This window comes from Homo sapiens, chromosome 6 (assembly GCF_000001405.40).
Source record: "Homo sapiens chromosome 6, GRCh38.p14 Primary Assembly".
Taxonomy (NCBI): domain Eukaryota; kingdom Metazoa; phylum Chordata; class Mammalia; order Primates; family Hominidae; genus Homo; species Homo sapiens.
The window spans coordinates 111,842,882-111,868,914 of record NC_000006.12 but is presented as its reverse complement, the minus strand read 5'-3'; the positions used below and the strand labels follow the sequence as shown (position 1 = coordinate 111,868,914).

Genomic DNA, 26,033 nt, shown 5'->3' with positions numbered 1-26,033 from the left:
TTAATAATTGTTAACATTTGTTGAGCATTTACTATATGCCAAGCACTGTTTAAGCTCCGATCTTAACAATAATAATATGAAGTGGTTTCACTTATAATCTCCGTTTTACAGATGGGAAATTGAAGCAAACTTTAGTAGCTTGTTAAGTAACTAATTCAAGATCATACAGCTACTAAGTGGTAGAGTCAGGATTCAGGTCCAATTAGTTTGGTTCCAAAGCCTTTGCCCTTAGCCACTAGGTAATATTCAAAATACTACATATAATGATGATATTAAAATACGTTATGTGCCATAAGGGAGGGTGACTGAAATGCTTTAGAAACTAAGACTTTTGGTTGATGAGAAATATAATTTTATAGCCAAATAGAAATACAATATTCATCCCTACCCTCCTTCCATTCAGACACTTATCTACTACTTACCTGGGAAATACAAAATTAAATTAAACAATGGTAAAGCAAGGCATGTCGATACTGGAAATAATTTTACTCTGTGTGATTATTTAAAGCTGGGTCTTTCTGTGGTACACAATTAGGTCTGTATAAGTTTATGAATTGTCTACATACTTACTCATTTAACAGCATTCATTCATTGCGTATTCTATTTGCCAGACAATTAATTCGATGGTTCAAGGCAAAAGAGATGTGATCCTGTCCCGAAGGAACTTACTTGCTAGTTTTGCAGAGCTATAAAGGAGTCTCTGACCAATGTTAGAAATGCTGGGATTTTAGGGGTCCATGTAGGATGGCAGAGAGTGTGCAGAATGGAGCATGAACCTGGAAAAGAGGTGGGCAAGTGGGATAGCCAAGCAGAGAAGGCTGGAAGAGGAGGGGTCTGAAGGCAAGATGAGTAGAGATGGCTAGGTGAGTGTTGTGGGAAGCTCCCTGTCCCAGAAAGAACAGCCCAGAGGGCGAATGCACAGACCTTTTGGGGAACTGCAGTTAGTTCAGGGCTGTTTGGAGTGGTACAGAGATGGACAAAGGGAAATGACAGAGCTGAAGGAGAAACTGAGAAAGATTCTTGTACGTACTTTATCCTGAGTGCCATTTAAGAGTTGTAAGTGGAGATGTGGCTTTGATGTGATTGTATTTTTATAAAGATCTGGCCACAGTATGGGCCTTTGACCGAGGGCAGGCAGAACTAATGCAGGGAAGGTAGTTATGGAAACTTAAATGAGTAGTAGATGAGGGTCTAAATGGAAGGAAAGGAGGTGCAGATGGAGCAAAAAAGAATTAGAGAGCAGTAGACAGGGTGTAGGGGTAGGTAGAAAAGAATTTCTCTGGGAAATTAGGTAGAGACAAGCAGTCCAATAAGGAAAGCAGGGGGCAGGTATCTAAGCGATGACTTTATCTTAAACACTTTAGACTTCCAGGTGTAGTAGCTCATAGGCAGGTAAATAGAGAGGTCTGGAGTGAGGGAAGAGGACTAGGTCTTTTTTTTTTTTTTTTTTTTTTTTCCCGAGACGGAGTTTCGCTCTTGTTGCCCAGGCTAGAGTGCAATGGCGTGATCTCAGCTCACTGCAACCTCCACCTCCCAGGTTCAAGCGATTCTCCTGCCTCAGCCTCCCGAGTAGCTGGGATTACAGGCACCCAACGCCACACCCGGCTAATTATTGGGGTTTCGCCACGTTGGCCAGGCTGGTCTCGAACTTCTGATTGCAGGGGATCTACCTACCTCAGCTTCCCAAAGTGCTGAGATAATAGGCATGAGCCACTGCTCCCAGCCAGGACTAGGTCTTGAATATAAATTCGTTAGCAAACAAATTACAAAAATTGAAGCCATGGATGTGGGTGAGGTCACCCAGGGAGAATGTGTGGAGTAGAAAGAGCAGAAAGGGCAGAGAGCAAGCCCAGGAACAGAGGAGGAGTCAGGCCCAGAATGGGAGAGGAGCCTGCGGAGTACTAGACCAGCTTCAGAGTTGAGCAACATAAAGAACAAAAAATGCAGTTGGATTTAGCACTGAAGATATCTGAACCTGCCCAAAGCAGCATCAGGAGAACTAGAGGGGGAGAAGTCTAGAAATCTGTTGCTCCCCAGCCAGGGTAAAAACACATATCAAAGCCTGTAGAACATACAACCATGAAGGACTCTTGCGGTTTTTCATGGGCACAGGCCATGGAATCTTAGAGATCATGTAGTCAACATGTTCATTTTACTCGTGAGGAAAAATGAAGTTAAATGAAGAGGTTAAGCAACTTGTCCAAGATGGCAAAGTCACCAGGTTTCACACCTCTCAGCCCAGGTGTGTGGTGTGGTTAAGAGCATGGGGTTGGGGCCGGGCACGGGGGCTCACGCCTGTAATCCCAGCACTTTGGGAAGCCAAGGCAGGTGGATCACCTGAGGTCAGGAGTTCAAGACCAGCCTGGCCAACACGGCGAAACCTTGTCTCTACTAAAAATACAAAAATTAGCCCGGTGTGGTGGCACAGGCCTGTAATCCCAGCTACTTGGGAGCCTGAGGCAGGCGAATCGCTTGAGCCTGGGAGGCAGAGGTTGCAGTGAGCTGAGATTGTGCCACTGCATTCCATCCTGGGCGAGAGAGTGAGGCTCTGTCTCAAAACAAAAGAAAACAAAACAAAAGCATGAGGTTGGGGTAGGGTCCGGGTTTGACCCTTTCCAGCTGTGTGGGCTGGGCCAAGTTACCTGGTCTCTCTGTGACTCCTTTTCTTCATCTTTAAATGGAGATAGTAGTTCCTGCCTCAGAGGGTTGCTGTGAGGATTCAGTGAGTTAATACATGTCAAATATTCAGAACAGTGTCCTACACATAGGAAAAGCTATGTGTTTGCTGCTGTTGTTAATCCATATGTATGTGTGTATGTGTATATATACACATATGACATACATGCTTTAGGGAAGGGATGATGACAATATATTGTGTGTATGTAAGGAAACTTTGAATATTTTAGAAAGAGATTTGGGTGATTGTCGGTTCTGAATCAAAAATTGTTAGAAAAGTTGGGAAATTTACTTACATGGTATGATTGAAAACAGCATTTTTAGTAAGAAATGCAGCACCTTCATTCTTGAGAACGGAAAACATGAAAGCATTCTGACGTTAACCCTGTAAAAGGGTTTCTTTTAGTCAGATAACCAGAATTTTAACCTATTTACAATGGAAATCCCTCGAGTTTGACTTCAGAATGTCATTGTGACTTTTCTAAAGGTAGAATGAACTATAAAGTAAGAAAAAACTATGGGTTATGACTTTCACACATTTGGCTCCTATGAAAAAAGAGTGATTTGTGTTATTTAGAGGACTATAATAATTTTTTTAGTGTTTCTAGTTGAGCAAATCTAATTTTTAGCTACTAAAACACATGAGAAGCCTGAATGGTATTATCCAAATGGACTTGGGTGACATGCAATATAGACAACTTAGGAATAAGTGACACTGTGGACTTGATTAGAACGCAGTAATCCTGGAAGAATATAAATTGAATTGGATTTATGGTCTAATAAAAACGTGGGAGGAAAAGATAATGCTTACTGACTCATGAAACTTTAACAATGTTTGTAAGACTCCGAGTTGTTGTAATATTTGGTTGAGAGCGCTTTCCCATTTGTCTCAGCCTGCTTCCAGAACAGCCTGCTGTGCACCTCCGTCTGGAAGTGAAGCCTGACTTGGGTCTCCTTCTTGGGTATACTTAGGAAGCAGAGATCATCACATACTCTGCCCTTGTAAACCCATGACCTCGAGCAGCACTTGGTTGGTTTAGGCAAATATGTATTGAGTACCTATTAACTGTAAGAGTTTGGGGGAGAAAAAAGTACCATGGGAAAGTCCTAGCTCATTGCTTATTTGCACTCAGAAAGCTTTTTTAGAGGACTACTTGTTTCTGGCCTTGTATTCTCCTTTCTGTGATACTGCAAAAAAGTAGAGAGCATACCACAGCTACCTACTCCTCCCTGAATACACCATAGAAATAATAGCACCTGCCATTTTATTGAACTCGGAGGCATGTGTTAGGTGCTTACATACAGTCATGTACTTAATCATAGCAACTCTAGGAGGCATGTATTATTATACCCATTAGTCAAATGGGGAGACTGAAGCTCAGAGAGGCAAATGGCTCATGGTCACACAGCTAATAACTAGTGAAGCCAGGTCTGTGTGACTGCTAAACTCTTTCCTGCTTTTGCTCCAGAGCTGTGGTTCCTCATTCCCTGCCTCCTTGCCTTTGCTTTGCAGTTACTTCTGTGTCCTGTGTTGCAGGATGCAGAGGCACCTTTACCCACCGTGGAAGTCTCACCCTTTCTGATGACTCCCCTCAAAACCTACTGCCTCTTGAGAAGCCCTCCCATCTCTCTTACCTCTGGGCTCCCAGAGCACCTGATTACCACCTCATCATCATCCTCATCATAGCCTGATTCGTAAGGCTGAGGGAACCAGCTGGGTAGGACAGTGGGGCAGGCACTGGCCTTTCCCACCGACTTGTGAGCTCTTTGGAAGTCAGGGACTCTATTTTATGATTGATTTGTCAACATAACACCCAGCACAATTCTAGGAGGTACTACCATTATTATCCCATTTAAAAGATGGAAAAACTGAGTCACAGAGGCTAAGTGATTTAGTCAGCGTCACAGAGTAAGTGACAGAGCTGGGATCTGAACACAGCAGTCTGGCTCCAACATCTATGTTCTTCACACTAAATTTGCGCCATCTCTTTAATGAGATTGTAAACTGTGAGGGTGGAGGTGGTGCCCAGCAGCTCCCAGCCTAGTATCTCACAGACTCTGCACAGTAAACATCAGCCCTTTTGTTCTCCTGTCCACCCCAGCAGAGTGACAAACAGAATATATTGAACCAGGTCTTATCGCATAATAAGAAAAGAGCACAAATATGCTGAAGATCTCATAGAATGCATATCCCCAGGCCTCATTTGGATTCAGTGGGTATGGGCCAGGCAGGGCTGAACGCTTCTCATCTTTTCTGTATCTGGGAACAACAGTGAGAAGGGAAGAGTCAGCAGGCAGCTCTGGAAGACAAGGAAGGAAGCAAACATAGGGAGTCCCAACTAGAGTAGTGGGAGCAGGCGGAGAAGTGGTAGAAACCATCAGTCAGCAAGAGTCAGAGAGTGCCGAAGCTTGAGAGGGGCCCGGGATCATAAATCCGCACAGAAAGACCTCTTAACTTGTAATTTAAAGGTTTCTAAGTACCTGTGCCTTTTGAATATGCTGGTGGGATTTTATCTGATGAAGTCAAACACTTTCATTTTCTTCAGAGCTTCCATCTTTGAGGTATCCAAAAATAGTAGGCTTTTCATGGAGTTGTATAAGGATTCCATCTGCTTTATATTGAAAAGTAGGGCTTTAATGGAAAATTAAAAATGAGCCAGATCTCCTTTCCCACAACAAAGCCCAGGGCACTTTTCCCAATCCTTTCTTCTTTTAATCCCCAGAAAGTTACTGAATCTGTATTTCTGTGAAATCCTGCCCAATTTAAATTCTACTGAAAAGGCAAATAAACACCAACAACTTCATTTCCACACAAATGTCATGTCTATTTAGAAGCAATAACAATTTCAAATGTTGTCACTTGTGAAATTTGATTTTTGTTTTAATTTTATTTTTTTGTTATTCTAGAGATTGTGTGATGTATTGCCTGTACCTAGGCACATACATGCACATAAGGATATTTTAAGAAGCGCTGATTTCTGTTAATGGTTTCTCTAGTTGCTGTCTGAGTTTGAAGGGTATCACCTTTTATTGTCTAGTTTGGCTTCACTCTCATATTTCCTAGATTGAGTGAGGAGGTATTGATCCATGTCACTGTGGATGTGCCGGCTAATGTAGATACTGGTTCTTGGATCCTGTCCCTTTACTAAACAGCCCAGTGAATGGAGGCAGAATGACCAGGTTCCTTAGCCTGGCCTTCAGTGCCTTCTGTAGTATCTACGTTCTTCCTTAGTCATCCTGGCTCACCTCATTTAGCAGATGCTAATGCTTGGTTAGCCAGAAGCCCATTACCATCTCGTTAATTGGCAATATGGCTCCGGCCTTTGTTTTCCTTTCCCGGAATCCCCCGTCCTTCCCTTTCCTTAGAATTCTACTCACCTGTCTAGGCCCAGCTGGAATCCCAACTCTCAAAAGCTTCCCCCAATCTCTTTATTCTCTTGCATTGAACACTTGTATCTCTCAATTGCCTCCTAATAAGTGATGCCTGACATTGTTAGTTAAATTCAATATGAGAAATTCAGGGTTTGGAAGGTTTTTACAACTTGCCCAAGTTGGTACATCCGGTTACTACTTTAGCTTAGACTAGAATCCAGTTCTCCTAGACATACTTGGCCCCACATATGCCGCTCCCCTTTTTGACTGTCCACCTAAGGCACGTAGCACACTGTCATTCACAGTGTGGATACTCAGCAATGTTCATTTAGACAGGCCCGGGGTAAGGCACTGGAACATGCAGCTGGCTTTCTGGGCATCTGCGCTATGAGGCTGGCTTCTTTTTGGACATTGAGCTTCTGTATTTTCTGGTGGCACAAGATTTACTCCCTACTGACCCACAACACAGTTTGGGTTCATTAACTGTCCTAGACTGCTTTAGAAACCACCATTTCATTTTGAGAATGATATGTGTTTGAAGATTTTTTGTTTGTAATCTTGAGCTTTTTGTTAAAAATTTAGGGTGATTGGGGAAATAGTTACTCCTTTGCCCTCTGCCATCAGGTTTTCATCCATAAGATTTTCACTAAAAAAGAAAGGAAATGACATCCAAGAGCAGAGAGAAAATGCAGAATTCTTCAAAATCTAGAGGAAATTGGAGGAATACAGTAATAAATGATGGGCGAGAGAACAATAGCCAAATGGACTGCCAGTATTGTTGGGCCTGAAAGTATTATGTACCTACCCACACCTGGACCTCACAAAGCAACATTTAACTGAGTGCCTCTGCCATGTATAGCCCAATTTTGGCTGTGGAAGTGCCTTCCTCTCCATGCATTGATTTTGTTTACTTTGTAGTAGAATCTCCTTAGCATAGGAAGAGGGTTCTGTCCCAGACTAAGGCTCTACGAAGTAATGATTTAACTCTACAGCTCAGCTATAGCCTTTGTTTGTATATCCTTCAAAAGAATGATTGAAAACAAGCTTTATAAAATGTTTTCCATGGTCATGGGGAGGGACCCCTGGAGTCATTTCTATAACGAAACTCAAAACAGCACAACAGGCAGTGTTGGTCTGCATTCATGAAGAGCCTTCTCAGCTGCCTGTGAGAGCTCGCTGTGATTCCTCGTTAATGGCTTCCCCTGCCTAGTCCTCTCCTGGATGCCAGGTTTAATGTATCTGGGATAGAGAGCAATAAGAACACTTTCTGTGGATGTAGGCCAACTGCTGCAGCTGAAAGGGGGAGGGGAGGTACCTGGTGCTTTACTGTTGTTTGAAATGCTATTGTGATCTTCGAGAAGCAGTGGTGGATTTTTTTTCCTTGCTTAACCATACGCCGTCTATTATTTAAGTGCTTTTTCTGCCACCTCCCCGCTACCACAACTACCACCTTAAATGTGGGAGATCACATGGCACTTTGACAAAATGTACTATCCCCTTTGCTGGCATATAATGTTACCACTTCATGTATTTATTCATTCTGCTCATGTCTACCCTCTTTTGTACACATCAGCGTCAATATTGTCCATTTTCAGTAGCAAGTTTCTAGAAGGCTGAGAGTGAACCTTGTTTAATTTGCCTTGTGCTGCGTGATACTACACTGTGCATTTATTAAATGCTCATTGGTTCTGATTCTAAGCTTCCAAGTTGGGAGGTTTTACATATGTTTTCAGTACTTCTAGAATGAGATGCGTCTTAAGTAACTTTTCTTCATGCAGGTGATACATTGGGTCCTCTGCACTGATGGATCCTTGGAGTCATGGTTTAGAATCCAGATTTTGGTTGCATGTTTTAGATTCCCCCTTATGTTCTGCCTCCTTGGGTGAAAATGCAATAGCCCTACTTCTAATCTTGCCTCTCCGTTAGGGCCAAAGCATAGATAATGTGCCATACCTCACACTTCTTTTCATGTAAGTGTGGTTGACCATGTAATTCCCATAGTCATTATTCAACAGATTCTTGATTTCAGACTGCCAAGTGTTAGAGGTTGTTCTCTTGGAGGTTGAGAATTACTCAGTGAAGACTAGTGAGGATGAGGAGTGTCTGGGAAGAATCTGGAAGGACTGTGGTAGAATGAACAGAACCAGATGCCTCTATGGGTGCCAGCAGCTCCTGGGAAAGGGACAGGTTCTGGTTAATTTATTTGTTAAGTATGATCCAAGAGGGATTGGCACTTAAAAAACTGCAACCCTAAACATTATTTGATTGTACCCCAGTCCAACATGCCATGTGGGGAAGAGTCCCTAATCTGGGGTGCCCAAGGCAAGCCCTACTGCTTTCCCTGATCCTCACATCTCTAGCTGTGACAGAGGTTCTGTTTCCAGGGAATGAATCACCCTGGCCCCCATCCCCAGAACAGGGCTTCCTTCCACACACTTGAGATCCAGAACTGCTGCTGCTGGAAGATTCCTGCTCTGTGCTGCCCACCAAAACACCCATGGGGTTTTCAGTCTAGCCCATGGTTGAGCTAGAACATGCAGGAATGATCCACTGAAGAGGGAGGTGTTGGTTAGGCAGGAGCGAGAAGGAACGATGGATGGAAGATTGGTGAAGAGTTGGTGGAGATGAGATCTTAATTAAGTTAGACCTTTTACTGGTTTCCCGGGACTGCCATAACAAATTCCCACAAACTCGGCTTAACACAAGAGAACATTTTCTGTCATAGTCCTGGAGGCCCAAAATCAGAAACCAGGCTCTCAGCAGGGTTTATTTCTTATGGAGTCCCTGAAGGAGATTCTGTCCCAGGCTTCTCTGTGGCTGCCGGCAAACCTTGGCTTTCCTTGGCTTTGTAGGCATGTCACTACAATCTCTGCCTCCATCTTCACAGGGTATTTTCCTCTGCATGTCATTGCATGGCCTTCTCCTCTCTTACAAGGAAACTTGTCGCTGAATTTAGGGCCAGCCCTAATATGGGATATTCTTATCTTGATATTCTTAACTTAATTACATCTACAAAGACCCCTTTTTCCAAATAGGCCATATTCACAGATTCCAGATGGGCATGGTGTGTTTTTTGTTTTTGTTTTTTGTGGTTGGGGGGTTGGCACCATTGAACCCACTATAACCCTCAAAGTAATAGAAAGTAGCAGTCACTCAGAGGGAAAGAGAACAGACAAGAACAAAACAAGATCGCATGCCTGCTAAATGGCAGGTATCGTGGTGCTATGTACTTTACCTGTTTGATTTTAACTATTACTGCAAGATAAATAAAGATACAGTGAAATTTGCATGTAAGAAGAAAGAAGTTCAAAGGAATGGAGTGTCCTGGAACTTTTCTATGAACTGGAGGCTGAACTGTCATCTCATGTTGAGAGATTTGAAGAAGGGAGAGTGGGCTTGGAGAATCTAGAAAAAATTCAGCCAGCCACTAAACTGTAGCACAGTGTGTAAATAGATGGATAAAAAATATGGAGTGAGGCCCCATTGGAATTTGCACGTATGTTTATAGTTCCCTTTAGCCCAATTTTGTGACTCTGCCTGGTAATACTTGTCACTTTGGAATGAAAAATCTGGCCTTGCGGTGACTTAGAGTTGGGCATTGGTTTGAATAATAGGTTGCTCTAAGAGACTAGAGAAAACATCATATGAATCAGCTGAAACTAGTATTCAGGCTGGAAGGGGCGTGAGCTTGGATTGGAGGTGATAGGTAAGGAAGGGTCTGAGGCCTCAGGGATGTGATGAGTGGGCACAGCAGGTACGGAAGAGGAGTGACAAAGGTAAGGGGGCCCTCAGTTGAGGAAATCCAGGGAAGTGGAGAGTTCCAAAATGATGCTGATGCAGGGGTGGTTTTGGACCTCCACTCAATGGTAGAACAGAGATTGAGGATATTGGGTAGGAAGAACTCAAGAAACGGAAAGCCATAGGCTCCCCTTGCCCTTGGTTCAAATATAAATATATAATGATATAAATGGTATCTTCTAGGAGAATGGCCTGTCAATGTGTTGCACTTTTTTTTTTTTTTTTTTAAATCCTAGGTAAGTGTTCTGGGACCTCTGAGACCTTGCATTATGAGCAGCTAGTTTAGTGGGAATAATATTTTGAACTGGTATTCAATTTACTTTCCCTTCCTCCTAATTGCTGTTGCCCTGGGAGTCTCCCCCATTGAAGCTAGGGATTCCATCACTTCAAGGGGAGGACAGAACATGGTCAACGACAAAGAAGACATTGTTCAGCTTTTGACTTCCAAAACAGGCCCTTAAAGCCTGTTTCAGAGAACAGAGTTAGCCCAAGCCTTCATTTAAAAGAGACAGGCTTTGTTAGAAGAAAAATGGTTTGTGGTTTCCAAGCAGCCAAATCTCAGAAGGCCTGGCATATATTGTACATTAAGCCACGGAGGAGGGAGGCTACAGGATCACTTCCGTTAGCCCAAGAAGGAGAAAATTGCTTCCTGGGTTGGAAGGAGGAGCTTGCAGAGATTCAGAGGATTCCAGGGTTAAGAAATGGATGGGTCACTGAGATCTAGCACCCAGTTGTCCTGGGCTTCTGCTTACGGGGTTATTGAGATGATAGAAGGCCCAGGTAGGTGAGCGACCCCCTGTAAGCAGAGAGCACTGGTGCCCTGCCTCCTCTCTGGGACTCTGGAAGGAAACCACCTTGTAGTTTGCCCTGCAGTGGGGTGTGTTTAGGTAGAAACGGGCCCTGAGGTGGTGTTCCTTCCCAGTTCCCCAAAACCTGTACATGGCGTGGGGAAATCCCGACAGTCCTGCTTATGCCCTTGGGTGGATGTAAAGGTACTGAGATATCTAGGGTCAGAATAGAGAGGGCACAGAAGGGAAGTGTGCCAATCTCCCTGCTGGAGGCTGGCTGGGATCGTGGCCACAGATACTACTGAGCCCCAGTGAGGTATTGACCAGCTACATCAGCCAAACCAGGCCAGCACCCAATGACAAAGGAACAAGACATCCCACAGAGGCCAGAGGCCAGCACCTAGACTCAATCCTCTCCCCATCACTGTGATGGTCTGTAATCTCCCTGGGGAGAAGAAGGAGAACGAAAGGGACACAGCCCGGCAGCTTGAAGTGAATTTAATTTGACTGATTGCCCTGAAGCAACTAAAGTTTTAACTCTGAAGCCACTAGGTTACCTGTAATGAGTAAGATTGTTTTTTTTTCTGCCATAAGTAGAAATGCAATGATCATAATCAAGTTGAATTCAATCATGCACAAATAAAGTAACATCTTTTTATATTGTTAGGTAGTAAGTGTATATTTCAAACCTGCCACTCTGCATTTGGGCTATATTTTAACTGCTTAAACTTTTTTATTTGTGACAAATTTACCTATACTCTTATAGTATACCATTTTTCCTTTGATAAATCGTGGCTTAGTATACCTGTCCTAGGTTCATTTGGGGCAAGAAGTGTGAGATTATGTCCTTAAGCGGCAGAGTTTTCCACCTGATGTTTCAAGATAGTGTGGGGTTTCTGGCTTCCCCTTGTTTAGCTAGTGGCAGTTTTTCCCTGAGAAGGACCTCAGTTGCCTTCGGGCCTCAGGTCAGTGGAAAGTATTAGAATTTCAAGCCTTTCTCTAATGAATTTACTGTGATGCTGGAGATTAGAGGAGAATTTTTACTGTGTGTGATCCTTCAGTTTCATATTGTAAAGGTAACAGGGTGAATAGTAGAAATGTCTCTAAATACAAGGGGAAATGCTCTTCATTTTTATTCAGTTCTCATGTGCTAAATAAAGTATCAGTTTATGAAAGGATTCATTTCCAAGTATAATTTGTAAGTAGTTACCAGAACACTCAAATGAGAGAGGGGGAGAAAAAAACAGTTAGCTCTTTTTAATTGCATTTCATCTCTCTTTGACATTCATATGAGGATGATGCTGCATTTAAGATGATGTATTTTAAAACCTGCTGTTTCTGAAATACCTAGTAATTTTGGAAGGGAAATCATCAGGCTTGCTTTAAAAGTGTGCCTTTATTGGGGGTGTTCTGGGGTGAGGTGCGGAGTTGCCTGTTTGGATACTGCTTATGTATTTTCTCACCAGAAAATTATTGTGACACTCTTAGCAAATTTTCTCAAAACATAAATGCATCTCATATTTTTACCTTGTGTGTCGGGGGGGAGCCAAGAGAGTTAGAGATGGAGAACCACATAATTTAAATTGAAAAGAGTCAGCAAATAATTAAATGGATAGAATTTAAAAAGTATTGATTTATTAACTGACATTTTAAAAATATGTTAGACCTATAAAATAGTTCTCTTCAGAATCTTTTCAGAAATAAAATTTTTAAAACTTAAAAACATATGTCCATATAGATTAAATTTAAAAAATCTTATATTATCTGAGTTTTATAAAATAATAACATAAGTAATTATTTTTCACTCCCATTAGTCAACTTTTTAGCAATGTCTCTAACTAACCTATGCCAGTGATACTCCATATGAAGAATGAATTGTTTTTAATTTTCTTAATAAAGTTGCCTCCAATCTCTTCAAAGTTGTGTTTATAGTTAGTATTTGAAATTAATATCTTTGATTGGCTTCTATGTGTACATCACAATATTTCTCATTCAGAAAATAGCTCTTAGATGCAAAGTCCCTGGTGAGCTCTGAACAAATTCTGCTCAGTGGAAGCTCTTCTTAGACAAGTTTTTAAAATGTTGAAATGTGTAACTGTTTTCACCCAAATATGTTCACAGATCTTTTTCTCTCATTCAGAATTCTTCAACAAATATTTTTATAAGACAAAACTTATGAAATTAAGTTTCTCTGTGGTCCTTTCAAATGTTTTGTCAAATTTAGATGGCACAAAATTGCAGACCTTCTCAGTTTCACTCCATTCTGGTACGGAATATAAATGTATCCAGTTAAAACTAGGCATTCCATCAAAAGATTGCCACAAGTCAAGATATTACAAAACATCAGAACAGAATTTCAGAATTAAATCTTGAACACTGAGTTCTCATCATGCAATGTGTTCAGTTCCTCCTTTGCTTTTGTTGGGATAAATTTGAGCATCTTCTGTTTACAAGCCTTATTTTCAATAACTGCAGTTGGCTACAGGCTTCAAAAGCTGAACTGTTTTGGTGCTTCATTCACTGCTTTGATCAAAGACTTCCAACTAGTTTGGAACAGAATACACCCAAACTTTTTAAAGGACTTGTCTATGATACCGTTATGGCACGCCCAGGTTGACAGAGAGAGTCATTTCTCAAGCATTAACAAAACCCAGTTGATGATGACGGGGACAAAAGAGAAGGAATATACTGCTATGTTGAAGTGTTTTTTGTATTTAGTATTGGCTTTGTCACAAAAAGTTTGGGATATTTCTAATTGGGTATATATAACTATTAGTTAATTTCTACCTCTACAGTTTTTACATTCGATAGGATATAGCCACTTGTTTGAATGCAGTTATGAATTATGCATGTGACATAACACATTCTAAGTAACATTCTGCACCATAGGTTTCTTGATTTAGTTAAGAACCTTATTTTTAGCATCACAAAATTTGTATTATTCCTGCAAAATCAAATCATTTCATCTCCTATGTTGAGCTTTTTACAATTTACAGTAGCATTTACAATAATATGAGACGTTTTACCTGTGACAAAATAAACTTCCACAAGCTTTATTTTGATCCCATGAGATAAATGAAAAAAAATATTATTTGAATTAATTGATTTTCTGTTTAAAACACCTGGTAATACTAACATAAAACTGGAATAATTTAACTCTTGGTGAAGTTTTTTTCTTCTGCTAATGAAGCTAATACATTAAAGTCATCGTTTCACTTTTCATATATGCACAAAAAAACCTGAGTTCAAAAATAAGCAAAATCAATTTGGAACAACAGACATTTCATCCAAAAGAAATGTCTCCTAGAGTGCTATGTTAGTAAACCTTCTGCAGCTGCGTATGTTAAATCATCTTCCTTAACATAGTCTTGCATCATTATTAACATTTGAAGTAGTTGCTGTTGCCTCTTTAGCAGATTTGTGACTTGTGGTTTATGTAGTCAGTGATATCACTAAGGCTCCCATGATGGATAGTAAGTATCAACAAGCATTTTGTGTGAATTTATGTTCATCATCTGCTTTCTTGAAAAGCAGAAATTTGGTACTTAATTTTTTATTAAACTTGCATTTTCTTTTTCTTTTTAGCTCATCACTGCCAAAAGGTATATTGCAAAATAAAATAGTATAACGATTCAATAAATGACAAAAACACTGAAATGAGAGCATTCAGACAATTCTTTAAAAGATCTGTAGCAGATCTGTTTCCTGCGAATATTTCATGTATGCCTAACCTATAACTTTCTGTGTTTTCCATTAACCCTTCTGACTGCTGTTCCGTGCATCTCAGGCTGCAACACAGGTCACAGTGCAATGGTCAGCACATCTAGTGTCTGGTGAGGCAGTGGCCTGGAATACTTTTCCTACTGCCAATCAAGACCGGAAGGAGTTAGCTGCCCTTAGCTGCTCATGTCCAAGTACTCTTTGTTTTATGGTGAGCATACTGCGTGTTGTCCTTGAAAGGGAGGTGTTGCTTACACCACGATTGGAAAGGGACAGGAAAAGAAATGGATTGTCATTGGTCATCTTTCAGCTTTAATCACATGTTAACATGAACGTTCCCTTCACTGTATAGTCGTCTCACACACCGGTAGACAAGGTATGGGAGAAGCTGCAAGTGCAAACTGGAGGTTACAAAACCCATCCTGGTGTATTTTAATATAACCAGTAATAACACTTGGTTTATGAAGTGAAACATCTGAACAAGTGCTTAACCTGACTGTCTGCTGCGACAACAGGCATAAACCAGCACTTTTGCAGACAAAGGGAAGGACACTGTCAACCTGGGTAGAAAATCACATTTCTCCATCTGCTTTCCACCCTCCTTTGTCTGGACTCTGCCCTTCTCTAGTCTTGATCTTTCCAACCCCACTTCCCACAATGGCTGAATGAGCTTTTAAAAATCTATATGACAAAGCAGGAGGATCACTTCAAGGCAGAAATTCGTGACCAGCCTGGGCAACACAGTGAAACTCCATCTGTACAAAAAATTTGAAAATTAGCCTGTCATGATGAAGCACTTCTGTAGTCCTAGCTACCCAGGAGGCTGAGGTAGGAGGATCGCTTCAGCCTAAGAGGTCAAAGCTGCAGTGAACTATGATCTTACCACTGCTCTCCAGCCTGGGTGACACAGTGAGACCCTGTCTCTAAAGTTAAAAATTCATATATTTAAAAGAATCTCTATGAGATCATGTTGCTCTCCTGATGTCATCCTGTCGCAATTAGGATAAAATCCAGCTCTTTGCCACAGCCCAAGCAAGAGGCCGTTTGTGCTCTTGCCTGATTGTCCCCAACTAGATTTTAAGCTTCCAGGGAACATACACCTGGCTATGTGCCTTCTTTGTCAGAAGGGGACATGAGAGTTGCACAATGTATTTTCTTGATGTGATGATTTGGTTTACTTTGAATTGATGAAAAAAAAAAAAAGGAGTGTCTTGGTAATCCATGCCAGTAAGCAAATTCAAGTCCAAATCTCTATGTTCCAAATATGATTTGTATCTCTGATAACAAAGTTGGTCAGCAGAATGTATGACAGGACTGGATCCTCTCCATTAGTGGAAGTCTTACAATGCATAAAACCATTCTGATTCCGTGGTCTTCCAGCCCCTCCCCACCTCTTGGAAGTATGAATTCTAGGGAATCTATTGTCTTCATCAACATTAGATGAAGACTTTTTAAGTACATTTGGAAAGGTGCTGCTCTGGGTGATTTGGGGAAAACTGACATGCAAAAGCTCAGGCAATTCTCAGAGACCTATGATGTTGGTGGTAGAGGAATACTCTGAAGTCACAGTTGTGAAACCTTGTTGTGTTCTTGCACAACTGGTTCTGTTGCTTCTCTTTGTGGAACGTGCTACTGTTCAATTTTATCATGAATGCCTTTCCAAGGACAGTAAATGGTTTTACACACTATGACATCGTTTCCATGGCAACTAATGTATTTTAGCAAAGAGAGACTGTGATAGAAGTAGGCTAAAAAGGACAAATACAGAAATGGCACAGTGTAAAATGTAGGGCAGTGTGTGTTGTAGTAAGGACTTTTTTTTTCCTGGCTTCTTGTTTAGGAAAACCTATATAACTAGATTTTGGATTTTTTTTTTAACTCTTACTAATAAAATTTTTACTGCACCCAACACAGTCTCGTATTTTTCTGACACAGTTCCTTCAGTTGGTACTTGGGCTTTTTGTTTGCTTGCCTTAAAATGAGATAATTTCCATAACATATAAACATTTGTAAGTTTATCTATCTTAAAGGATGTACTCTTCTTAATCCCCATTCTCCTTTGGCCAACACCCCACTTCTCTACCACCCTTTATTTCAGTTCTTCTTGAGAGGGTTGTCAATACTACCTGTCTCCACACGGTGTTTGTTAAAAATCAGAGCCATTCCAGTCTGGCTTTCATTCCACCATTTGATACAGTATCACCAGCTGGTCACACCCTCATCCTCTAAGTCTACTGCAGCTCTCTTCTTTTGTTTATTTAGAAGCTAACTGCATGAGTGTACATTTCGAATAATTCCACACCACATCAAGCCCCATTTATGTCAACCATGGTTAAGAAATATAAGGGAACGTGTTACCCTGCTTTGTATATCTGAATACATTTGGATTATTTTGTTATATGATAATGGAACCCCCTCTGTGCTCTTAAATAAATCCCCAGTGGTGAGCAGATAGTCAATTTCCTATTTAACAGAAGGAGAAACGGAGGCATGTACCTTTTTATTACTTCTAAAGATAGCAAACCACTCTATGGGCTGGATCATACATACCGTCATTTATGTTTTGTTGGGCCACATGGTGCGTTTCAAAAATGTAAACTAACACTTTTAAATAGGACAGTATTACATAAAAGCTGAGATTTCCAGCTTCTCTTGAAAAAAAAAAAAAGGGAAGATTTGGCAAAACTGAACCTGCCTTCTCTAATGATAGCAGCCTGCCCAAGCAGTGTTGTGGCTGTCTTCTTTGGAGGGAGCAGGGCTCTTCAGCTCACCCAGCTTCATCTTACCTGCTTTATTCATTTATGTTGCTTACCTGGCCCCTGGGGTTTTTAAATATGTGACCCTTGCCACACCCTCTCCCACCCAATCGCAGAGCAGATAAATAGCAGAGCTAGGGATGGAACTTGGTTTCCAAGCCAGCCTCTTCCTCCCTGCCTGTGGACCACAATTCTGTATTGTAGAGAGTAATTCACAGGTCAGGGATGAAGGGCATCATCAGGTGGTCATCATGATACTAACTGAAACAGACCGTGCAGTTAGTGCTTCTAGGTACACTGTTCTTATAGGGTCCCTTCCCCTTTTGGTTGCCTCTGTCAGAAGTTGTGTGCTCTCAATTGTGATGTGCAAGGCGGAGGTGCTGGGGTAGAATGTGGAAATTTGTATGTTCATACAAAAACTGGCCCAAAAGGAAAAGCTTCAGTATCATAACAGGGGTTTCATATTTTCCAAATCTTCAATGAGCGTGTATTACCTTTTTAATGAGCTAAAATAAATATTTACGTAAGATAAACAAGAACAAAATAGTAATACAAAGTACACATAGCACTGGCTGATACCTGTGCCATCCTCCCAATGTGGGGGACACCAGGGCCTTCCCCAGCCACCTCTGCTGTCCTCTACTAGACTAGAGTCTTCCCCTAGATGCCCCTGGGGTAGTACCAATGTCTAGTACCATGTTCATCACGTGCCCCTCATTTTGAACGTGCACATATCACTGTACCTTGATTAGGACTGAATAAGACAGGAGAAGAAGTTGCAGTTGCTGCCATCTCTAACCTTGGGAGAAGGTTTGTGTGTGGAGCAAGACACAGGAGAATGAGCTAGTTTGGGGCCAGAATGAATGGTTGGAGGAAAATACATTTTTCCTGGGGAAACGTGGCAATGAGGAATGCTCCACAACAGAGGGCCTTGTCTGAGCTGGGTCCTGTCTCAGGCGCCTAACCCAGCTGTTGGGCACACAGGAGACTGTGGAGACCCTGAGCGTGGATGGTCCCACACACTGCATGTCTGTCTGCAGCTGCACAGGCCTCAGGGAGCCCTGTGAGAGTGGGCCTGTTCCTGGGCTGCAGGCAGAGAGCCAGGGGCTGCCCCGTTGCCAGAGAGCATTGAGGAGCTTCTGTGTGTGCTGTGTATATGTCTCAGCCTTCTTTGGAATTATGGCAGAGTCTGTCCCTGCCTGGTCATTTTTGTGCCTTTGATCCTAAGTTAAGAATAAGTGAAGGAGCACTTGTCCCTGTGGACACGCTCGATATGGAAGTTGCATCAAACGGCTATTTTATCCTCAGTCACCACTGACATCACTCCACGTACGGTTCTGAGGTTCTCACTTTAGTTGTGGTTGAATAGAGCTATGATCATTGGTGCAGAAAGAAGCCATTCCGATGTGAATCTGTGAAGATGTGTCTAGCAATGTACAGATGTTTTTTGGCAGGTCAGTGAATATTTTAAATCTTTTGCAAGTAGTAAAAAGAGTTGAATTTGAAATAGAGAAGACACCATGGCAAGGGAAAATTATACCTTGTTTTTCTCTCAATCTTCCATTTTTAAGATAATCAGACAAAATCCTGAACCATTATTTAAATCTTGGATTCATCATGGCTCTTAAATGTCCTTCATCCTGTATGATACATGGTTATGACCCTAATGTATTGAATCTCTTTCAATAGCAAGAATTGCTGGGTAGTAGTAAACATAATAGCAGAATCTCCAGTTTGGATCTCCATTGATTTAATTCTCTCTGTCACCTCCCCTCTTCACCCTTCCTCCAGCCATCACCAGAGATGGCACACGCCCCTGTATCTTGCAGGTACCATGCTTGGTGTAGTCCCAGTCACCAAGAAGCTGACAGTCTAGCGGGGAAACAACGAAACAGGCTCTGCACAAAGTGCCGTGGGAACACAGAGAAGAGGAAATCTAGTCCTGCATGGGGGTGTGGGCAAAGGAAAACAAGAGTGAAAAAGTGATTTTAATCTGGACCCTGCAGGCTGATTAGGAGAAAGTTGCTACCCAGCAGGGTTGGTGAGATTGGAATGACAAGGCATAGCCCAGCACCAGGAATTATTGGGGGCTGCCTTTCTTTTTCGGCCCTTTCCTGGGATAGAGGCAGGTTGAAAACACAGTGGTACAGTGCTACTTCTGGCTGCCTTCTTAGCTACTGTACACCGTCTCTCACAGTCTGGCCTCTGCCTTACTTCCCACCTTTCTCCCTCCAGCCTGCCACCATCCTCCTAGCCACTCCTCTGTTGTGCAGCACTGTCAGGCCTCTAAGCGTGCAGCCCATGCTCCTTTGACTGTGTACTGGTTGCTTTGCCTGCACTGCCCTGTCGTGAGGTTCATAGGGAGATGTCTGTGGGCATTCGGAAACAGTGCAGGGGGGTGACGGGGAGCTGGAGGGATGGCTGTATCAAGAGAGAGCTCAGAGTTGAGGATTGCTCAGTTTTATTTATTGTCTGTGTGTTCACCCAATGTTGGAGGATTGGTCTGATCTAGGCAGTTGGAAGTAGTTCATTTTTGGTCAGGGTCTTGTCCTTTGGCTTCCATTCCTGCAGTTGACCACACATTTGCAACATTAATGGATCAGCCTTTTCCACTGGGCTATCTGGGTCACTTCAGTTATGTTTCTCAAACGAAACATCAGCACTGCTTCAGCAAGAAGAATAAAAGCATGGAAAATGCCCTAATGCCCAAAGCCCACAATTGAATGCATAGACAACTGTTTAAAATGTCTGTGTAACTACATATGCATATCAATATAATATATCTGTACGCACATGCACACACACACGGGGGTGGGCGTGGGAGAAGCCTATCTTCCCTTAGTCTTGGAAACCTAAAACTTGCATCTTCAAAAAATCAGATTTAGAATAAAGATAAATTAGGAAGATAATTGGTCAATTTTTAAAAAATGATTTTTAAGAAAATATGAATCTTTGAAATAAAAAGTATCTCTATTTCACTTAAACATTTGTGAATAAACATTTACTTTTTCTCAACTTTTCAGAAAGACAGCCTTAAGAAAGATATACGTGGTTTTAAAAGCAAATGCCACTCTTTATTCTAGATAGCAATTCTATTTTGCGTCCATCCTTATCATCTTGGAAACAGTGGAGCCGCTCTCTAAAAATATTTCAGTATCTTGCTTAGAGTCCTCAGAGTTAAAGCTGTGGTGTCCTCCTTTTGGTTTATGGCTGCAGAATGATGGGTGTATATATTGTTTTTGTTAGTTAACTCCATCTGTTTCGTAAGCCTGAAAAAGAAATTGGATGATGCCGTATATATGTATGGATGGATAACACTCCTTATGCAGTAGTGAGTCAGCAGCTTCAAATGGGTTTTCCGTTTTCCTATTGGTACTGGTTGCTAAAGTGCTGTAGCGTGAAGGCTCATTCTTTCAGAATCTTGTGAATTGGGCATCCTATGTTGTTGGAATTACACAGTATGCTTGAAAGAAGGGTATTAAAGTTTCTTCCCTACTTTGGAAATGGTAATGATTCTCCAAGTGCTCTTTCTAAGGCTGATGAAAAAGTCTTCCACCTTGTAAATAGAAATCTCCTTATTGTGACCTGTGAATCAGAGCAACAACTTTTCTGAGCCTCTGCAGAAGTGTTCAAGAATAGAAGGCAAAGTTCCACTCTATACATGTTCCCTTTTGTGAAGAGTTCTCATAGTATTGATTTATTCTCTTCTGATTATAGGGAAGCAAGTTAAAATTTCTGGACAAATAATTCTCATTTTTTACAGCTTAGCAGTGTCTAGATCCCTAGTGGGTTAGCCAAAAGAAAAGGCATCTATTGCCTGGCGGTTTCTCCGTAGGACAGGACAGCATGTCTCAGAACCCAGGAAGAGGTGAGATGATATGGGTTGCTAAGGCATGAGCTGCAATGGCATGCTTATTAGCACATTCTCTCTCACCTCCATGGTGGTTCTCTTGCTCATCTCCAGTGAGTTCATGATTTGAATGCCCATCTGCAGAGAACAATATATGAGTTTCAAATTCTCTTCCTCATGGTCATTTTTTCTTTCCTTCATTCCGAGTCATCTTTGATTAAACAAAACAAAGATGTTACTGTTAATTATACATCTTTCCAAACAGTGCAAAAATTCTTGTGTGTGTGTGTGGTGGGGGATGGTTTTGATGGGAATAATAACTTATCATGGGGGTGTTTTAAATCGTGGATCAGGAAGAAAGATACTAAGAGTCACATTGAAAAGCTTAAGAGTCTCTACAAGATAGGAAAAATTGTTCCTGCCTTTTTTCATATTTCTTAACTCAAAGCTCTCTGCCCTAACATATTGTTGTAAACATAATTCCATTCAACTATTTTTATTGTTCTCTTTAGACACTTTATTAAAACTGCAGCTTTATTCAAACAGCTAAAATTGCAGATAATAAATGAAGTACCATAATATTGGCCAGTTGTAGGCACAGCGTGTGAGCAAACTGGAAAGCTGCCATCCTGCTCCTGGCACTTTAAAGATTAATGTGAAGCATGCATGGGTGTCATCAGAACCAGCACTCAGCCTCGCCAGGGGCTTGGCACAAGGTTCTAAGGTAGTCCCGGGGCTGGAGTTCCATGGACAAGATGATGCAGGCTGCTGGGTTGGCAAACCTCCTGCAGAGGGGAACCCCAGCTGCTGGGAACCAGGGGCCATCCCCAAAATGCTTTTTTTGACAGCGGGGCCCACCCACAGTCAGATAGGAAGTGGGGAAGGTATGGGCTGGGTGCTGGGGGTGTTTTAATCCAAGAGGTAAATTGAGTAAGACCTTGGAAGACTCAGTTTTAATTGTGCCCCAACCATTGATGACTTGTAGAGACTCTGAAAAAGGGAAGTGTGTTTGTGTTTGTGTTTGTGTGTGTGTGTGTATGTGTGTGTGTACACACAAGGCCTCTATCCTTATCTTTCCTGATTCCAGAAAGTTAAAATCTCATGCTGGCTTCCTTTGGTGGTACAAGGCCAGGTCTTTGCAGTTTCAGACAGGTGTTTGTGGCAACTGTGACTTAGCAACAATTGTGTGAATGATAAAAAATTTGTGGGCAAATTGATTGTCTGCAACAAATGGAAATTCTATGGTGGTGCTTTGTGGGTGGTTTGTAGGCAGAGAGTACTTGGTTCTCTTTTGATGTCTCACTTTTTTTTTTCTTCTTCTACAGTTTTTTTGAAGAAGCAGGATGCTGATCTAAACGTGGAAAAAGTAAGTTGGCAAGTTTTGCACTGAGAGCAAGTGCCTTGTGAATTATAAAGGGCTTCCTGTTGGAACCTAGGATGAAGTCCACTTTTAATTTGGGATTGTAATTCTGAGTCCATAGATTTCTAAGAGAGAGGTCGAGTTGGAGAAGGAACTGGTTTGTGAAATAGAAAGAAAACCTTACCTCCTTTGGTGGACCCACTATTTTCTCCCTTCCCTTAGTTGTAACACTCAATTCTGGTAATTTATGGGAACATATGTTTTGACTATAAGTTATGGCTCCCACCCCAGAAATAGAATGGAACAGCTGTCCCATGGCTGAGGAGCCTTCAGGCTGGGGAGGAATGGGGAGCGCCTATCCTCAGGCTGGTCAAGGAGGTCGTTTTCAGTCCATTCATTGTTGTTTTTCCTCCACTCTCAGATGGCTGCTGCTCACCTCTGCCTGAGCCGTATCTTTGAATTGCAGCCACTGTGTAGCAGGTCATTCTTTCATTAATGTAACATTTTTTTGGTTCCTACTGGGTGTTAGACATCATGCTGGACTCTCTTGAGACAAAAGTGAATGTGACTGACAAGTACTCAGGTAATGATGGTACAATCTGAGAGCTGTGCAGAAGGGGCTTGGAAGCTCTGACTGAGGGCTGAGCTATCCAGAAAAACTCCATGATGGAGTGGGTGTGAGGAGCTGTGAATGCATTCTTTCTCTGAATGTTTGCTGAGCCTTCTCTGCCTGTACGTCTCTCTGCCTCCCCAGGTGCCTTGAGTTCCCCCACTGAAAGGCTGGACGTCGCAGCTCTCGCTAGCCACCCAGGCGTCCTTTTCGGCCCCCACTACTCTGCCCAACCACATTGCCTTGGGTGTAACTTTTCAGCTGTTCTGAGTTATGTTCCTCAATTCCCTGGCCACTTGGGGGCTGCCCCTTCATCATCTGAGAATGACTTGGGGTTATTTCTCATCTTGATTTGAGTGCAAGAGAGGCTTTTCTTTCTGAACTAGAGCCATTCTGAATGCAGCTCGTTTGTCTCTAAGTTAGGGAAGTATACTATCTGAAACATTGTTCCAGAACAATTGTGAGTAACTCCTGACCTTTGACCCCATGCAGGCACCTAGCTTCTGCAGGATGGCCTGTGATCTACTGCTAGTCACGGGCTTTTCAGCTCATACAAACCAGGGCAACTTGGGGAAATAACACAGCTCTAGTTAGGACAAGGCAGAAGGAGCCTTTTTAGAATCCGCATGCACTCAGGTTTTGGCTGTGGAAGCCAGGGATTGGCAAAGACTGTCGCCTATGGGAGGTCAGTATACTGTGACCCTTCTGGACTAGGCCAGGTCCACAGCAGGCAAGAGCCTATGGGTGCCAGGAGCCCCCTCAGGGCAGTATTGTGCCTTGGAGCCCAAAGAAATGCCTGGCATTTGCCCCAGACTGCAGGACTTGCCCTCCCCTGTCCAACTCAGGCAGTGAATCCTGCAGCCACAGGAGGGGGAAGTCCATTCATCTGGGTTCCCAGTCCTGGCCCCATGCCGGGCAAACAGCAGGGCTCAGTTAGTGGGGTGTGGGGGGCACTGAATGGAATGTGTTCAATTTTGCTTCACTTCTGCTGTTAACTTCCTGTTAGACCTTAGAAAAATCATTTCTCCTCCCCAAGTTTCATTTTTCTTATCAGTAAAGTGGTCCCTTTCACAGGACCAAGTAAAATTACTCGCTTTTAAATTGAAAAACACAAACCAAATACATTTTGTTTTTGTTTTTGTTTTCTGACTTGGGTCTTGAATTAAAATGGAAAAAGGGCTGTTGGCCACCAGTCTAAAGAATGCCAGGTAAGACCAGTTATGGATTGGGACTGAAGGAGCAATGAGTGTCTAACAAAAGAGTGAACACGGGTGACTGACCCGTGGTGTGGATGTCTGTAAGTGCACAGGGAATCCAGATTAAGAGAAGCTAAACGGGTAGAAATGCTGCTTGGATGGAGTGAGTCTGAGGCACCTCTGAAAGGCTCTGCCTGCACCCTCTCCTCAGTCAAGTAGTTGATGACCTGAAAAACAATCATTGCCTTAGGGGAGTTTGCTGTTTTAAAAGCTCTATTCTAGAAGTTCCACTTTCAGAACCTTTTTCTGTTGCTGGTAGAACACTGTTGAACACGGATCTATCAACTTTTCTTTTTGTCTGTGTTTACCTATCCAGAAGAATCTAATATAGGATGTGCATCTGTTGTATAAGTAAATGATACCTGTTGGCCAACTCCAGTGGAGAAAAATTGCCAAAGTTACAGTGTTTGTTCTTCATGTGGATTTTTAAGTTTCCTCTTTTAGTTGAACGTTTTTGTAAAGACAGAAGTGGAAAATTAGCTTTATTTTGACATGCTAAAGCTCAAAGACAAGTTAGCATAAATTCTGTATTAATTAATATCTATGGTTTATTGAACTTCTGCTATGCAGAGTGCTTTATATCATCTATGTTACACTTCACTGTGACAGCAGTCCTGTGAGGGAGCTATGAGAGGCTCAAGGTGCTGTAGTTATAGTAAGGATTCTACTCAGATCTGTCTGGGCTCAGAGCTTTCCCCTTCCCATACCCCACCTTACTTTGGAGTTTATATAATATTTGAGACAATATGTTTGTGTGCCTTATTTTTTTTTAAGTTTCGTAAGTTCTAAGAAAGCGGCATTTGTTACTTTTTAGAGAGCTCTTCCTTGACACTCCCCTAAAGGCCCAGGCTGGATGGGGTTGCCCTATCGCCACGGCCGCTTCAAAGCTGTCATTGTGGTTGCATAGTTATCTGTGCAGTGACTGTCTGACAGCAGTGTTCACTGTGGAACTGCAGGCTTTATCAGCTCAGAATCCTTATCTGTGCCAAGCCTAGTGCCTAACTCATAGTAGGCCCTCTTAAAAAATTGAGCAGGCATGAATGAGTGGAAACCATGCTTGTTAATAGCATTATGTGGCGATAAGACCATCATTCCTTGACTTGCTCCCCAAAAGTACAAAGTTTCAAGCAGACAAATGAACAGATCATTCTTAAAATTGAACTAATCTGGGCAAGCAAAGAGAGTTCAAAGATAAAAGAGGGGGACGCAGTAGTGCACAAGGGAAACATTAAAGCAAATATTTTCTTTTCCACAGAATCTTTTAGAATTCTTGAGGGTTACAGTTCCAGATATCATTGCTTTAAGTGTATAAAGTGTATTTTTAAAAAGTGAAACCCATACCCATTTAAAAATTGAAAAATATGTAATCAAGTTGTATCAGAACAAAAATGTGCTTTTTGTGTAAAAAGCTAATTAAATGGAGTCATCCTATTTAGTGATTTAAAAGGATTTGATTAAAATAATATCCACTTCAACTACTCTCAAAGGGCTGAGGAGAGAGGTTTGGTTTCCGTGCATCCTGGATGGCCTTTGTCTGGTGTGATTAAAGGTATTTCAGTGCCTGCCATGAGAGAGGCCCCTGCCATTTCTGCAGTTTCAGTGAGACCGAGAATTCCTGCAGTGTCATTCCAACTGTTTGCAGGGTTTAGACAGCTGCGTTCAGGCCACAAATATGGCCACAAACACTACTGCCTATTTGATAGACACAGAGGCCTTCCGAAACAAAAATTGTCATTCAAAAAGAAAAGTAAAAAGAAAAATTACCTCCTGCCTTAGAATTGTTTACTTTTCCTCTGAGTGAGTGAGTTCTTTGAAATGTGTTGGTCTGTTAATGTAGAATGTACATG

At 42.0% G+C, this 26,033-nt stretch overlaps 1 protein-coding gene across 7 annotated transcripts in view, besides 3 other annotated features; it reads left to right on the top strand.

Annotated features, from left to right (window-relative positions):
* Positions 1 to 26,033, top strand: part of FYN (FYN proto-oncogene, Src family tyrosine kinase) — a 213,121-nt gene that overhangs the window by 4,538 nt on the left and 182,550 nt on the right. For 3 of the 7 annotated variants that reach the window (XM_005266892.5, NM_002037.5, NM_153047.4), the window contains exon 2: positions 22,286 to 22,326. The exons of 2 other annotated variants lie outside the window; for them this stretch is intronic. The gene's annotated coding sequence lies outside the window, so the exon portion shown is untranslated. Of the gene's footprint in view, positions 1 to 22,285; positions 22,327 to 22,389; positions 24,139 to 26,033 lie in introns of those variants that run through there. 2 more of the 7 variants (XM_047418570.1, XM_017010651.2) reach the window with 2 other exon arrangements.
* Positions 18,252 to 18,311: an enhancer, noted in NCBI's record as "active region_24957". NCBI's record gives its function as "activates an Ori minimal core promoter by ATAC-STARR-seq in GM12878 lymphoblastoid cells {active_cell/tissue: GM12878}" and the evidence as "EXISTENCE:reporter gene assay evidence [ECO:0000049][PMID:35858748]".
* Positions 18,322 to 18,401: an enhancer, noted in NCBI's record as "active region_24956". NCBI's record gives its function as "activates an Ori minimal core promoter by ATAC-STARR-seq in GM12878 lymphoblastoid cells {active_cell/tissue: GM12878}" and the evidence as "EXISTENCE:reporter gene assay evidence [ECO:0000049][PMID:35858748]".
* Positions 25,905 to 26,014: an enhancer, noted in NCBI's record as "active region_24955". NCBI's record gives its function as "activates an Ori minimal core promoter by ATAC-STARR-seq in GM12878 lymphoblastoid cells {active_cell/tissue: GM12878}" and the evidence as "EXISTENCE:reporter gene assay evidence [ECO:0000049][PMID:35858748]".